At 36.9% G+C, this 16,387-nt stretch overlaps 1 protein-coding gene across 1 annotated transcript in view, besides 1 other annotated feature; it reads right to left on the reverse strand.

The window, feature by feature from the left end:
- Nucleotides 2,485–2,584: an enhancer, noted in NCBI's record as "active region_9190". NCBI's record gives its function as "activates an Ori minimal core promoter by ATAC-STARR-seq in GM12878 lymphoblastoid cells {active_cell/tissue: GM12878}" and the evidence as "EXISTENCE:reporter gene assay evidence [ECO:0000049][PMID:35858748]".
- Nucleotides 10,584–16,387, reverse strand: part of DPH6 (diphthamine biosynthesis 6) — a 401,189-nt gene continuing 395,385 nt past the window's right edge. Inside the window, exon 10 of the mRNA XM_047433263.1 lies at nt 10,584–10,745. The gene's annotated coding sequence lies outside the window, so the exon portion shown is untranslated. The remainder of the gene's footprint in view (nt 10,746–16,387) is intronic.

Genomic DNA, 16,387 nt, shown 5'->3' on the forward strand with positions numbered 1-16,387 from the left:
ACCATATACTGCAGTGTTAACAATCTAGTGGGAAAATAAATACATGAAGACATCAGACATCAATAGAGCACAGTGTACTAAGTACAATAATAAAGGTCTATAAAATGTTTTAAAGTGCAGATAAGACTCTAACTTGCCCTGTGGGGATTAGGAAGGGCCTCACTGAGATAAGGAAATACAAATTTGGTAAGTGGAGAAGGCAGTATTTTAGGCTGAAGAAAATATATGTGCAAAGCCATGCTCTTGTGAAAAAATATGATCACCACTACCACAACAACTGCAATACCATGTACTTACTTTACGTCAGGCACCATGTTAGGTACTTCTCATAAATGAATGTATTTAATCATTACAACCACTCTATAAGGTAGGTATTATTCCCATTTTTTTTTATAAGAAACTGAGTCCCCAAATGGTTAAGAAACTTGTCCCAAAGAAAAACTTTAGGGGGTTGCTTAGGAAGTTGTGACCACTTTGGTAGGTTGGTGTGTGAAGGGTATGGTGGAAAATGTCTAGAGATGAGGCTGGAAAGACCACCAGAAGTTTAAGAAATACTAAAGTACATTATTGGGTAGGGTTTAGGCTCACTCTTAAACAGGACACATTTTTCTATCTCTGTCTCCATCCACTCAGTTTTTGAATATCTGTTACATAAAGGACTTTAAGGAGGACACAAAAATCCTACATAAAATGACAAAAATCCTACATAAAATGAATAAAAATGAGGGTGAAAGAAGAGAAAAGACAAGAAAATGTAATGGAGTTAGGAATAAGGCCAGCTGAGTAGACATAGTGAAACTCGGCAGACACTGGTGTTGTTTTACATCTTTCTGTGGAAGTTGAACCAAACCAGGAGAGAAGACCAACCTACCCACTGAGTGAGCTGAAACTGCACCCACTGGAAAGGCCAGGATTTTCTGCAATAATGATTTCCGAAGTCATTTAATCAGATGAATAGTGAATAGATGCAAAATAGAAGTCCTAACGTCTTATTTCTCATAGCACATTTGATATGATTTTAGCTTGAAAAAAATTATAAAGGCCAGGCCACTAGGTCAGGCACGGTGGCCCATGCCTGTGATCCTAGCACTTTGGAAGGCCAAGGCGGGTGGATCGCTTGAGCCCAGGAGTTCGAGACCAGCCTGGCCAACATGGTGAAACCACGTCTCTACTAAAAATACAAAATTAGCTGGGTGTGGTGGTCCATGCCTGTAATCCCAGCTACTCAGGAGGCTGAGGTGGAGGTTGCAGTGAGCTGAGATCCCACCACTGCACTCCAGCCTGGGTGACAGAATGAGACTCTGTCTCAACAAAAAAAAAAAAAAAAAGGAGATAAAACCAGATACCCACCTTAACCAAAACACAATCTTAATAAGGCACTCATGGAATGTCTATCTTTAATAATTCTACTGCTTGAATATCTGCCAAAATAACCTGTGGCATTTATACCAGTTTAACTAAATAAGCGAACTTGCTGGTTGGCTCATTATTTTTAAACCCATTAAAATATTCAGACACCTAACAAATATGCTAACTTTGGTTTTGGGAATGTTTGATGTATAGCCCTTCCTTTTGGTAGATTAGCTAGAGGGGGAAGTTGATTATTCAGGCTGCTCTTAAGTTTATAGGATTTAGGTTGGGCGCAGTGGTTCACGTCTGTAATCCCAGCACTTTGGGAGGCCGAGGTGGGTGGATCACTTGAGGTCAGGAGTTCGAGACCAGCCTGGCCAACATGGTGAAACTCTGTCTCTACTAAAAATACAAAAATTAGTCGGGCATGATGGCACATGCCTATAATTCCAGCTACTCGGGAGGCTCAGGCAGGAGAATCACTTGAACCTGGGAGGTGGAGGTTGCAGTGAGCCGAAATCACGCCACTGCACTCCAGCCTGGGCAACAGAGTGAGACTCTGTCTCAAAAAAAAAAAAAAAAAGAAAAAGAAAAAAGGGTTTACAGGACTTAAATTACATCAGCCAAATAGTCTCTATTATAAGGGATCTTAATTGAATATATCCAGACATACTTATAAGATTATTTAGAAGCCAGTTCAAAAGAAGAGAGGAATAGAGCCAGAACACAAACTATGGAAAAGTTAACTGCTCTGTTAAAAGATCGTCTCAAGCAGTGCCAACTCTAGTGTCAGTAATCTGACTCTATTTTTGTATAAACATTAATAGGGATAGTATGACCAGAGAGGTCTATATTGAGCTTGTTTCTTGGCCAATAACCAATTCCTGTGCACAGAAGCAGAAATTAATAGAAGCTGCACATAATCTGAAAATGCTCCTGGTAGATATTTGCATGAAGTGGTAAAAAGTACCATAGTGTGGTGAGAGGCTGCAGCACGACAGCTAGCTCTAAAGGCCACCAATTCCTTATGAGAAAACTGTCCTGAGGAACAGAAACTAATAATTGGTCAGGCATGTGGGTTGTGTGTGATTCAAGTAAACTGTCAAGTGTCCTAGTAAGTCTATGATTTGGGGGCACAGAAGGTGAGCCTCTCTGAAAATGGAATAAATGACAATCTACCAGGAGGTACTGTGCCCCGAGTCAGTAAAAGTTTACAACACGCCATTAAAGAGGAGGGATCTCAATTCAGAAAAATCACTGAATAGCTCTGAGAGCAAAATGTCTTAACCAGGGACTTTATTGGTTTACGTTTTCAATCAGCTGAACAGAATGAGGCCCTGACTGGTGGAAGTTGAGGCAGTTAGCTATGTCTTAAGGTGACGAGAACTGAGTCTCCCTACCTATCAGTGGGGTCCCCACAACTTTTCCCCCACTCATTTCATACCTATGTTAACCTTGTCTAGAATCCATGCTTATTGTCTAAGGAAACCTAATGGCATGTGACATGGCTCTGGCTCTATAGGTCTTTTTGGAACCAGGGTTTTTTTCTGAGATAATAAAATGTGTTAAATAAGCTTTAAATTTTATATGGCCATAGTCTCCCTCCTTTCAGGTTTTTTTTTTTTTTTTTTTTTTAGCTACTCAGCAAATCTGGTCAAACTAGGTATTAGAAAAGTGAAAAGTGGGACCTGCATTTGTTTTGAAATGTGTTTTAAATTTAAATAAATTTTTTAAGTAAAATTGATGGTAAATTCTGCTGATCTGTGGAAAGGGATTAACTTTAGTTTCAAGTTCCAGAAGCAGAGATTCATCTGGTTCTCAGTGAATTGAAAGAGATTCAGTTGGCCATCAGTGAATGTAGAAAGCCACTCAGTCAGCTGTGCTACTTTGAGCTCCCCTCAAACTCCTAGTCCAGTTGTCTATGCTCATAACTCACACATGTAGAGTTATATCTAGGATTAACCCAGGACAAAAGCACTCGCTCATCACCCATTTAAAATATCCTTTCTATGGATGATGAGAATCCCAGAAAAATCTGTGGGGCTGGATTCTGGAGAAACATGGGTAACATTTCTAGATTTCCTCAATGTACTGTGATTCAATTTATCAGATAAATGAACATGTTGAGGAGTTTTCTCTTGATTTGACAAATTTATCTCTAAGAGAACATTCCATAGTCATTCTATTGGAGACACAGTCTTCATTTTTCATGAATTTCAGGTTGCCACCAATGTTTAGAGGGACTATTCAGCTTCAGGGTGACATATGAGCTATTTCCAAATATTTTGTAGGCTGTTATGCAGATGTAGTACTACACTCATTCATCAAAGCCATATAGGTGGAATAACATCTTAACAGTCATAGAGCTATGCAAAGTTGAAATTACCTTAGAAGGCTTGACCCCTATTCCCCACTCCAAGAGAAGTTCAGTAAGAGTGTGGATATCATTTGGCAGGAAAGTCATGTGTAGAGAGTACTTGGATCACATGATATGGAGCTCTCTGAACATAAAAGTTCTAAGAACAAGTGTTTAAAAAAATTGTTTTAAACCACTTTGTGGGGTTATCAGCTACATGATAACATCTGAGGAAGGACTTTTTGTTGGAGGCAAAATGTATGCTTATGTTTCACACTTCTAAGTTTTAAAATTGTTGTATTATTTATCACTTTTCAGAGAGCTTACTAGAAATAAATGTGAAAATTTCCTAAGATGTTGAATACTAATAAGGTCATAAATGAAGTTGGAATATTACATTTTTTCTTTTAGACATAACTCCTTGGGTTATATAGAACCCTAAATTTATTTATGTTTTACCTTTTTATTTTGGAAGAGTTAAAATTTATAAAAGTTGATAGACTAGTACAAGGAACGCTTATCTACCTATCACCTAGCTTCAAGAATAATTAATTTCTAGGGCAGAATTATTAATTTAAAAGGCAGAATAATGACCCCCAACAAAGATGTCCATGTCCTAAACCCTGGAACGTGTTACTATATTAGGTCACATGGCAAATAGGAATTAAGGTTGCTAATCAATTGGCCTTGGGATGGGGAGATTATCTTGATTGTCCAGGTCAGACCAATCTAATCACACGAGTCCTTATAAGTACAGGAGGGAGGCAGAAGAGAAAGACCAGAAGGATAGCAATGTGAGAAGGACTTGGCCTGATGTTGCTAGCTGAAGATGGAGGAATGGGACCCTGAGCCAAGGAATGTGGGTGGCTTTTAAGCTTGAAAAGGCAGGAATTTGGATTCTTGTCTAGAACCTCCTGGAGGCATGTAGGCCTGCCAGCCAACACCTTGATTTTAGCTTAGTGAGACTCATTTCAGACTTCTGACCCATAGAATTATAATAAATTTTTGTTGTTTTAAGCTATTTAGTTTTCACAATTTTGTATAGCAGTCATAGAAACCAAATTGCTAAAAAAGAAAAAAGAATGTCAAAGTACGAAGAAAATGAAATAATCCTTAAGGATATAGGTAGAAATTTCTTTGTGTATGTTTTCAAGTAAAACAAGTATTTACAAACTTAGCAAAGAAAGAGAATGCTGTTATTTGTAGGGCTTTGAGTACAATAGAGATATAAGAGTGAATACCTATAAATGAGGTTTTAATATATGTTAACAAAAGTTAAATAGACATTTAAATTGCTGCTATTATTAATTTTATTAATTATTTAAATGATTTAAACTTATTATTCTGATCTTGTGGTACCATTTTTATTAAACTACTTATCTCCATTTCTTAAATTACAAATTAGATAGTCTGGCTTATTTAAATGTCTATATTATGATTGCTCTTGATGACTTTTCTTCATATGCTATTTATCATCCAGTTTCAACCAAAAGGCAAATATTGGAGAGGGAAAATCATATTATTTTATAAAAGCTAGTGAAATTGTTTATACTTATTAAGATATGGTACTTTCAATAAAACCAATTAAAGTCTAGAATCATTTTTCAAAATCATTCTTTAAATTCCCATTTATATTTACAGGTTTTTTTTTTCTTGTCTTGATACATAAAGTATTTAATTTGAGTTGAAAAATCAAGCAACCAATCACTCAACCAATGGAATGACTCACTTTGGAAACATATCCATAAGTGAAAACAAAAAATAAAACGAAGGCCAGGTGCAGTGGCTCACACCTTCAGGAGATCGCTTGAGCCTAGGAGTTCAAGACCAGCCCTGGCAACATAGTAAGACACTCGTCTCTGCAAAATATAAAAAAAAATTAGTGTGGCGGCACATGCCGTTAGTCCCAGCTACTAGAGAGGCTGAAGTGGGAGGATTGTGTGGGCCTCGGAGTTTGAGGCTGCAGTGAGTCATGATTATACCACTGCATGCCAGCCTTGGTGAAGAGAGCTAGATCCTGCCTAAAAAAAAAAAAAGAAACAAAAACAAAGCAATTAAAATTTATAAGCAGTCATTTTTGAAAATCAATGCAAATGACTTGGATGGAATTTTTCATATTTATTTTTGAATCTTGATAGTGTTAAAACAAAGGGCAAAAGATCAATGACTATATTACTGAAGTCACATATACTAATAGATCATTCATTTCTTTTATGTTTCAGGCCTTCCTCCTCTTAGATACCAGCTATATGATTCAGAATCTGGAGTGAAGTTTTATTAAATGTTATCATTCGAGGCAGATTCAACTATAGTGTTTGAAATGTGCAGATTATATTTCTTTGGAAAGTTGCAGGAAAAATGTTGTGGCAGCATATACGTGCCTTAGAAGTGTAATTTAAAAACACATATCAATAATATTGAGCATATGGCACAAACTTTAGCACACAGGCACACACTAAGTGACAAAATCTCAGGAATACATATAAGATTTGACATTCTACTTAATACACTTATTTTCAGAAACTTATTCCTTCCAGACACTATGAAAAACGAAAAGGTACAAAAGTGAGGATAGTCTCTAAAGGTATTATGGTGGTTAATTTTACGTGTGATAGTTAATATTACGTATCAACTTGGCTAGGCTACAGTGCTCAGTTGTTTGGTCAAATACAAGTCTAGATGTTAATGTGACGTGTTGATTGTATCGATGCTTTTAGATATGATTAGCGATTATAATCAGTAGACTTTGAGTAGAGCAGATTACCCTCTATAATGTAAGAGGGCCTCACCCAATTAGTTGGCCTTCAGATTAAAGAATGACGTTTCCTGAGGAAGGAGCAACTCTGCCTTGAAACTGCAGCATGCCTTGCTTGAAACTCCAGCTCTGCCTTGAAACTGCAGCATGGAAACTCTGCCTGAGTTTCCCACCAGCTGGCCTGCACAGCAGATTTTAGACTCAAGACTGCAATATCAACTTTTACCTGAATTTCCAGCCTCTTGGCATTTCAGACTTTCTAGCCTCCAAAATCATATGAGCTGTCTGTCTGTCTGTCTCTCTCTCTCTCTGTATGTATGTATAAATATATTTATATCTCTATCTACATATCCCATTGGTTCTGTTTCTCAGGAGAACCCTGACTAATAAAAGCTATTATTGCCCAAACACTTTTCAAATAAAATATTACCTTGATTACTTCCGAAATAAGGTAATTCTATAGTCTCATTGTGGAGACCTTTCAATGCCTTTATGTAAATTGATCCAAAATATTTTGTTCATTTTAACCCTAATTGATAATAACTTTTAAAAAGTTAAAAGGGATTTTATTTTTTCTACCCAATATTCCTCTTCCCTGAGATTGTTTCCCTACCTCTGCCCAGTGTCCACAACTTTCCTATCCAGCCCATGAGTCATCTCTCACATATACTTCATTTTTTCTAAATTATAAGATCAATGAAGAGTTTTAGAGACATTCTTAATTTTGATTTTTAAAAAAGTCTCTTTCTGTGACCATCACTACTGTGTTCTGGTTTGTAAGTACTCCCCTTGGTGACTGTTTTCTATCATGTTAACAATTTATGTTTAGCCAATAGTTAAAAAAAATGTGTGCTGGAATAATTGTTGAAATAAACTAAATGACTCTGGATCAATTACCATAAGGCTGTCTTAAGAAGACTTGTTTTGTCTGCCTTAAAAGAAGACCCTTTAATAGGGTTTAAGAGAAATTTGTGTCTTCATTTTATTTTTTAGGCTCAGAATAACTAATTCTGACTGAAACTCTAAAAAGAATTGGAAACAGCAGTTAATTAAAAGCCATATAGTCCATGGTCAGGAGGTCCACATTCCTACCTAAGTAGACAGCATATTTCAAAATGTTTATTAATATAGGATTTTTTCAAAACAAAGTTCAAAACTACAAAACTACTCTTTTGCTGTTGCTTAAGAGGGAGTTACCCCTTATGCAATTTATGACTCAGATTATCTTCTTAAACAATGTTACCCACATAAACCTTACTTGAAATCAATGGTACTGGCATTCAAACATTTTCCTTATATGGAGTTAACTGTGTCCTCTATCATCTGACTGAACCAACTAAAGTCATTTCTCTTAAAGACATCAACAGCTCAAGGAAAAAAAAAGTTTTCTCCCTAGGGCTGGGGGAGGACTTTTACTCTGCACTTTAAAATGTTTGCTCTGTTCCAAGAAGATATTAGGATCAGTTGACTGACAACAGGAAAAATTTTCCTGGCAGAGAAGGAAGCCAGAGGAGATTCACATGCAGACAAAATTTTAACTATCAGGCTGTTTGTGTACCCCATGTCTATTCTAATATGCCAAGCTGGGATAAATCAAATGGGCTCTAAAAATAGGAGATAAAAATGCAATTTCACAATAATTCTGAAGTTTACAGAATATCCATCTTAAGTGTTTCTTTTTTACAGAGTTATTTATTACTGGGCAAAGCTAAACGGCTATTTCAATACATGCACTACTCAAAGAAAAAAAAAAATCCCTGAAAACTCTGCCTTTAAAAAGCGTTATAAAGATACAACAGTTTTACTGAAGTGCTAGTGTGGGTTTAGAGAGACTAGGACCCACACAGAGATGCCCAAAATCTGTTTGTAATCAGGAGGGAAAGCAGGACAGATGAGCCATGTAGTGCTTGGTAGATGTGACCACTTTCCAGCTGGCCATCCCTCCACAGGAGAGGTCGGGACTGAAGTGCCCTGGCTCAGTGTGAGGTACATATCTATGCAGCTTGCCTCCATTATGTCCTCAGATCTTTAGAGCTGACAATCTCTTACGGATGTGGAAGCTGGACTCCAGGCATGAATGCAGAGAACTAAGCACACATGAAAGCACTGTTGGGGTGGACATGAAGCAAATGCTGCATAGCCCTCAGGACGGACTCCAGTCAGCCTTTCATAGCAACTTTATGATCATCCAGTTTTCCTTGGTTTCTCAAAGAAAATGTGCTCCTTGTGAGAATTAGTGGAACAACAGCTTGTAGATACCATCTTTAATTCCTGCCGTAATATATGTTATGAAAATCCCTCAAAGAGTACAGGAGGCCAGGTTCAGTGGCTCACACTCATAATCCCAGCCCTTTGGGAGGCTGAGGTGGGGAAATTGCCTGAGCCCAGGAGTTCAACAAAAGCCTGGGCAACATAACAAGAGCCCAGCTCTACAAAAATAAAACAATTAGCTGGGCATGGTGGCTCACCCTGTAGTCCCAGCTTCTTGGGAGGCTGAGGTGGGAGAATTGCTTGAGCCTGGGAGTTGGAGGCTGCAGTCAGCTGTGATTGCTTCACTGCATTCCAGCCTAAGGGACAAAGTGAGACCCTGTCTCAAAAAAAAGTGCAGGAAATTCTGATTTCTGAGTGTGAGGAGAGCAGAGGCTGGGCAGACTCTTCTGTCCAACAGTAGAACATTTTTACCATCTCCTGTATTGCCTTTGGGGACCTTACCTACCCCTTGGGCTAAGACTTCCAAATTGAATCTTCTAACCTAGCTGTCTTCCCCTTGCTGGGGTGAGCCTTTGGCTTTTTTTCTTGCTAAGATATTTCACAGGCAAAATGAAGGGTGCAAATGAAAATTCAAACTCGAGGCATTCAGGGTTAATTCATGGCTTGCTAAACCATCTAAATTGAACTTTAAATAATTAGACTTAAAATATATTGGGTCAGAAGATAAATCTGATCACAGCAATACAAGAAGAATCTGATCTGGTTTTACCTTCATTCTTCCCTGAAGAAGGCTCATTTTGAGAACAACTGAAGAACAAATTTAACTTAAATTTGATATAGATTGGATCAAGAAAACTAAAGACAATAGCGACAATGAAACAATATAAAAAAGAAAAGCTGCCAGACACTGATAACTCTAGGAGAATTAATGCAGTTGAAAATTACTTACTGTATGCAGTTTACAAGATTCTGTTTAAAAAAGCATAAACTATTCAGAAAGACTGAAATCTATTATATTAATGATATATTTTTTTCTTTGAGACAGAGTCTTGCTCTGTCGCCCAGGCTGGAGTGCAGTGGCACCATCTCGGCTCACTGCAAACTCTGCCTCCCGGGTTCACGCCATTTTCCTGCCTCAGCCTCCCGAGTAGCTGGGACTACAGGTGCCCGCCACCACACCCAGCTAATTTTTTGTATTTTTAGTACAGACGGGGTTTCACCGTGTTAGCCAGGATGGTCTTGATCTCCTGACCTTGTGATCCGCCCGCCTCGGCCTCTCAAAGTGCTGGGATTACAGGCGTGAGCCACTGCGCCCAGCCACCGATATATTTGTTTATAAAGCTTTCTTTATTTTAAAAAATAAAGCTATTTAGGAGAAGCATTTTTTGTGCCTCAAAACAATGCAGATAGAGAGAAACGGATACACAGAAATATTAACAGTTTGATTTTATTAAACTGTTAATTTCCTAATGATTTTTCCAGTTAGAACTTTTTTAGGATTATTTTAGGATTCTTTATTTTAATGTTTAATTTTTTCTTATTTTGGGGACCATTTTCCAAAAAGCATTACTTTCTGTTACTTCCAGTAAATGCATAGTATTTTATGGAAAAGCTGTCTTTTGTTAGATAACTTTTTACCCTTGGGAGGTGTTTTCTCTCTGTCTCTCATCTCTCAAAAATCCAAGGCAACTTATTTCAAATAAGTGGCAATAAATTGAAAATTTTCACAAGTGTTAATCTGGCCGAGGTGTACAATACTAATAAACCAAGAGCTTCAGGAATTGAGTTACTGGCTTAGCTAAGACCTGACTAAAATGGTTTACATTTTTTTAAAGTACTAAAAAAAGCCTTTTCTAAAATCACAGTATGCTGTTTTTAAGTCAATTTTGGTTTGTCTCTTCCATTTTTTTCTTGGTATGAACTTTGAATTTTAGGATTCTGAGGCAAAGATTTTAGTTGATTTCTAAGTGTAGGTAAATAACACTAACCTTATGATTAATTACATCTTCATTTCTTTTCTTCTCTAGATTATTGATTAAAATAAGTATTCTGTTTTTCTGCAATATGTTCTTTCTGCAACAAACAGAAATGTATAAAGAAGAAAACCAAAGTCATTTATAATCCCACCATCTAGAGAGAACCTCTTTTTACATTACGATGAATTTCTTTCTAGTCTTTTGTGTGCATATATACATTTCCAAGTTACTTATTTTGGATTTCATAACATAGATGTGCTATCTTTCATGTTGGCACTTAACAGAGAGTTTCATTTTTTACTTTCCTAGTGTCCTTTAACTGAAATTCCTTTACATGTGAAGCAACTGTCCTAGAATTTGGGAAGACCAATGACTGACAATTATTCTTCATTAGAGGAGTTACAATATGAAAGTACTGCTTGGGAGCTGGTTAGCTGATACAAACAGTATGAACATTCTAGGGAGCTAGCTCCAGCTGCATTCTTTAAGCTGGCAGGCTATTCTAGAAGGCTAACAATACACTTGCGCAGAAAACAAATGTTCCCTGTTCCTGTCTATGAGGGGTAGATCCCTTCAGTTTGTCAAAATTCTTCTGCCATTTCTCCCTTTGCTGGAATCCAGTCCTGGACATGCAGTGGACAATTATTGACTTCACTGGAACACACAGAGATGAAAACAGCTTCAAGTTCTGGGGTAGTAACCTTAGCCAGCCATCAAAGAATTATTTTATTTATGCACTGTGAAAAGGATGGCTGGAGATATTTCTATCTGTATATCCATCCACTTCTCTCTCCATCTATCTATCTACATTGTTTTGAGGCACAAAAAATGCTTCTCTTAAATAGCTTCATTTTTAAAAATAATGTTTTAAAAACAAATAGTATATGAAACATTTAAATCCCCTCTGCAATAGCATTTGTGTAATATTTCATAGTTGCATACCCAAATAAACAAAAGCCCAAAATGCCAAAAGGCAACCACCAAAATGGTATATAAAGGTTAGATAAATGTAATGGGCTTATAGTTTCTGTGTGTGTGTGTGTGTGTGTGTGTGTGTGTGTGTGTGTGTGTATACATACATGCATGAGCACTTTATTCAAAGTTTTACTCATTGAATATATATTACTTCAATAACATATTAGTTGAAAGTAACGTTACTTTTATGATAGATAAAACAAAGTAAGCTTATAAGGAAGAATTTTAAAAGTTCTCACTGCAATAATCTTTCAATTGCGGTTCTTAAAAGTATATTTGACCACAGAATGTATTTTAAAAATGTAATATCAAAACCTAAAACTGTCAAGACTATTTCTTTGCTGAATGTTATGGGTATTGCACTCCATGTTTTGTTTTAATATTTCATTTTCTCATCTCCTTATTTCCTCCTGTTCTCTCCTTCTTATAAATACTAGCATAGTCATACATCTAAACATTATCTTTTACTTTGGATGTTATGATGAGAGGGAGAAGAAAATTGATATGTTTTTACCTTTGCATTATTTCAACATGATCTCATATAGTTCTTTTAAACATTTTTGCCCTATATATTTTCTGTCCTTTCCTTCTCTCTCCATTTTCCTCTCTTTCCTAGAATAATCATGTTGATCTGCCGTATTGCAGAAGTAGCAGTAATGGTACTACTAAAGGTGAATTTGAAAAATTTTACAACATTTATTATCATTGTGTCTGGGCATTGACTTAGCCTGTACATTATTCATATATGGAACCTCTAAAAGTCTTTAGGCTTCTTTATTTAAAATGGTATTCATTTGGTGAATATCTACCATGACCTTATCACCCAACATGTCACCAAGCAGCTAATCAGGCTGTCCTGATGTCCTACTATCAAGGTTAGTCTATTCATAAATGTCTTGGGAAAATCGTAATTGATTCTAGAAAAATCAAAGTGGGGACAACACTCCTGATCTCTTTTTCTGGAGGAAACACTGGTTAATATACATTACATATAACAGTGTCACATTTATTGAATAAATTAAGCTCTAAAGTGCCAAATAGAGCTCATTATTGCCATCAAGCAAGCACTTACATGGTGCTTTCTATATGGCAAGCATTTGATCTAAATGCTTGATGTATATTAACTCATTTATTCCTCTAACAATCCTATGAATAGGTACAGTATTATTCCTGTTTAACAGATGAGGAAATTGAGGAGCAGGGAGGTTATAGAAATTGCCCAAAGTCTTGTAGCTCTTAAGCAGCAAAACTAAGATTTAAAGCCAGACAGCTTACCTTCCGACGCCTTTCTCAATCACAATGCTATCATACTTTATTATCAGTATATATTTCATCATTTATTTTTTTAATATACAGAGCATTATCCATGCACAGGGAATGTAAAAAAATATAAAAGAGTTTCTGCCTTCAGGGTTCTTCAATCTAGTTAGAAAGAGTAAACAATATAAAATTGTAAACAATACTAGGCAGCAGAAGCAGTGACAAAGGAGTCATTCAGATGAGTTTTCTAGGATTTTTAAGGTGGCCTGGTCGGTGATAGCATGGGAAATTTGGAAAGGCTTCATATATCCAGACTTGTGAAAGATTTGGACCAAGGATCAAGATGCTCTTTAAGATCTTTAAAAAAAGTAATCAGAAATACAGGTAACTTAAAAATGTACTCAAACTCACTAAGACAGATGGTCTGAAATAATCTGAATTATCTGTGGGTAGAGTGAGTACTTGATTAAACCCCAGCAGGTGAGTGAGAATTACTAATATAAAACAATGGAATTTAAAACACAATTATTATGCCATTAATATAGAAGAACTAGAGTGATCAGATAATTCAGAAAATGCTTGCCTTGATGCCTTTAAAAGTGGGACATGCAACGCCTTGGGCTGCAAACAATTAGTCCTGCATGTCAGAAGCTTGGGAGTGACAAGACCATTTGACAGCTCTGAACGATGAATCAGTGCCCAGGAGAACAGCAATCTAGAAACTGACTTGATTTGATACTTCTTTTTGCTTAAAGCAACCAACATTTCAGTGATCTATAGTACTCCAGGGTTATATTTATCTACAATTACTGTAATGCAATTGTTTCAGAAGAAATAATGGGTAAGTTAAATAACAAGACCAATGGCACCTCAGGATAAATAAGAATACAGGAAAATTTAATTGTTAAAAATCCTGTATATCTATTTCTGCCACCTCTTTTAAGTTAACAGTAAAGTTATTTCATTTTTCTTCCATTTAACTCACAAGCTACAAGACTGTACTATAGTTTGGCTCCCCATTTTAGCTAATTATAGTTTATTCTATAAATTCCATATTTACAGGGAACATTATGTATCAGTTTCTTAACATTAATGTCTTTTGTAGAATGTGTTCAGCTTACATATAGACTGAATATAGGTTGAATATTGGTTCAATAGATTGAAATATATTCAATATTTCAATGGATTCTAATAATCCGGTATAATTATTTTCTCTCTAGTATTCCTACCATCCACTCAGTTATTCACAATTAGAAACCTAAGGGTCATTTTTGGTTCTTTCCTTTCCTTTTCTACTCATACTTAGTCAACACGTGTTCTTGATCATACTTCTTAAATATTTTATAAATGTGTATAATTCATAAAGGCAAATTATTTCCATAGACCCGGAGGCATATATATTCCTGCTGAAATTAGAACCCAGGTCTTTTGATTCCTCATTCAGCCCTTTATTCGATCTATGATACTTTCAGAGTAGGGACTTTCTTTTTAACTCAAATCTGTCCTTTCTCAATAAGTAACTACAGAGTAAAAAATAATAAATGCAAGCTCCCTGCAAACATTAAAAAAGGGCACAGAAATACCAATGAGTATTAATGTGCATAAAACACTATTAGCATTACCTATGACACTTGACTCTGAATTTATCATTCTTATGCTTCATTAAAGAATGTTTTGCTGAATGTCCCCCTGGTCAATGTCTCCACCTGTGCTGTGGATCTTAACTGCTTTTGCCCCCTCCTGAATCCTGCTCAGGGAATACTTCCCTCCCCACAGTATCTAACATCTCCATCCCCCTTCTCTCCTCCCTTGCTCTTTCCCTTCAGCCTATAACTATCCTTATATTTCTTCCAACTTAAGAAACAAAGAAAAGCAAACACACACAAAAACCCCAAAACTAAACTAAACTGAAAGCATTTCCTTGTCACCTCCCCTCACCACACAACTGTCACTAGTCTTTGTTTGTTTGTTTGTTTTTTGAGATGGAGTCTCTCTCTGTTACCAGGGCTGGAGTTCAGTGGCCCCATCTCGGCTCACTGCAACCTCTGCCTCCCAGGTTCAAGCGATTCTCCTGCCTCAGCCTCCCGAGTAGCTGGGATTACAGGCACCCACTACTACGCCCAGCTAATTTTTTGTATTTTTAGTAGAGACGGGGTTTCACCATGTTGGCCAGGCTGGTCTTAAACTCCTGACCTCGTGATTCGCCTGCCTCGGCCTCCCAAAGTGCTGGGATTACAGGCGTGAGCCACTGTGCCTGGCCCACTAAGTCTTCTTTAGTCAAGCTACTTACAGACCTGACCACCACACGGGCCTTCCTCACTGCCTGACTGCCATGCACTCCTCAACCCACAGTCACTTCTGGCCTGGCTATCACCATGCCTACCATCATCTTTGTTTTGCAAAGCCAATGTACACTTTTCTATGATTTTGCTGAGCCTTTTATAGAATTTGACACAACTGACCATTCATTTATTTAATGAACAATTAATCAGTTATTTCTATGGGCCAGGCATTGTGCTAAAGAACAAGCCTCACTTAGTATTCTGCAATAGACTACAATTAGATTCAACTGTTCACAGGCTATGATTGCACTAGAGGTGCATAAAAGAATTATCTCTAAAGCTAGGGTCTTCTCACTGCCAGTGAGTGGACAGTGAGTGCAGAAATATTTTTATTATGTGTATCCATTCATGTTAACTACATATGCGATCCCGATGCTTGTTCTGCTCCATGGCCCACACATCTCTTGAATGTAGAATACCTGCACCAGCTTTCTCTGAGGAGAATGAGGATCTGGTCCACTGGGAGTCTTACGACTTTTTAATTTTATGTCCTCAACTGTTTTACATAAGGGACCAGCAAATTGGAAGTTGGAAAGATTTTTGCAAATAGAGACAATGTAAATGTTATTTTCAATTGAGCCTCATGTCCACCTTTTAAAACTAGATTACTCTTTCGGAGGTGACAGAGAGAGAGAATGACAGATCAGAGTTATAACTAGAAAATAAGGAACATATTTCTTATCAGATGGTGCAATTTAATAAAAGTAACAACAAAGGAGGGGCTTGAGAATAATTATAGAGAAGTTCCTTAGCCATTTGAACTGGCAGTAGACAGTAAGAATTTATATGAACCCATTTAAGAATCTCATTTGGTTTCCAAACAGTATCTGCCAATAGTGATGTACAGAACAACTCCACAGCTGTTATTCATAATAAATGCTTACAAATATAAGAAAACTATTTGGCCATGGATCATGGGAGTTTTAAACAAATATACGTCTGGAAGGCAGAGCTCGTGTTGTAAATTTTATGCAAGGCCCTTAGAAATCTACTTCAGTAAACAGCAAATGTAGCCATTACTCCTACCTCAATGTGCAAACTTGTGGCGAAGAACACATGCTACAGCCTTTACATGGGAGATCATCATATTCATGCAAAGTAATAAAAACAATCACAAAGATTCAGGCCCCAGTGTTTTCCTGCCACATAGCCATGTAAACAA

Source organism: Homo sapiens, chromosome 15 (genome assembly GCF_000001405.40).
Source record: "Homo sapiens chromosome 15, GRCh38.p14 Primary Assembly".
NCBI lineage: Eukaryota > Metazoa > Chordata > Mammalia > Primates > Hominidae > Homo > Homo sapiens.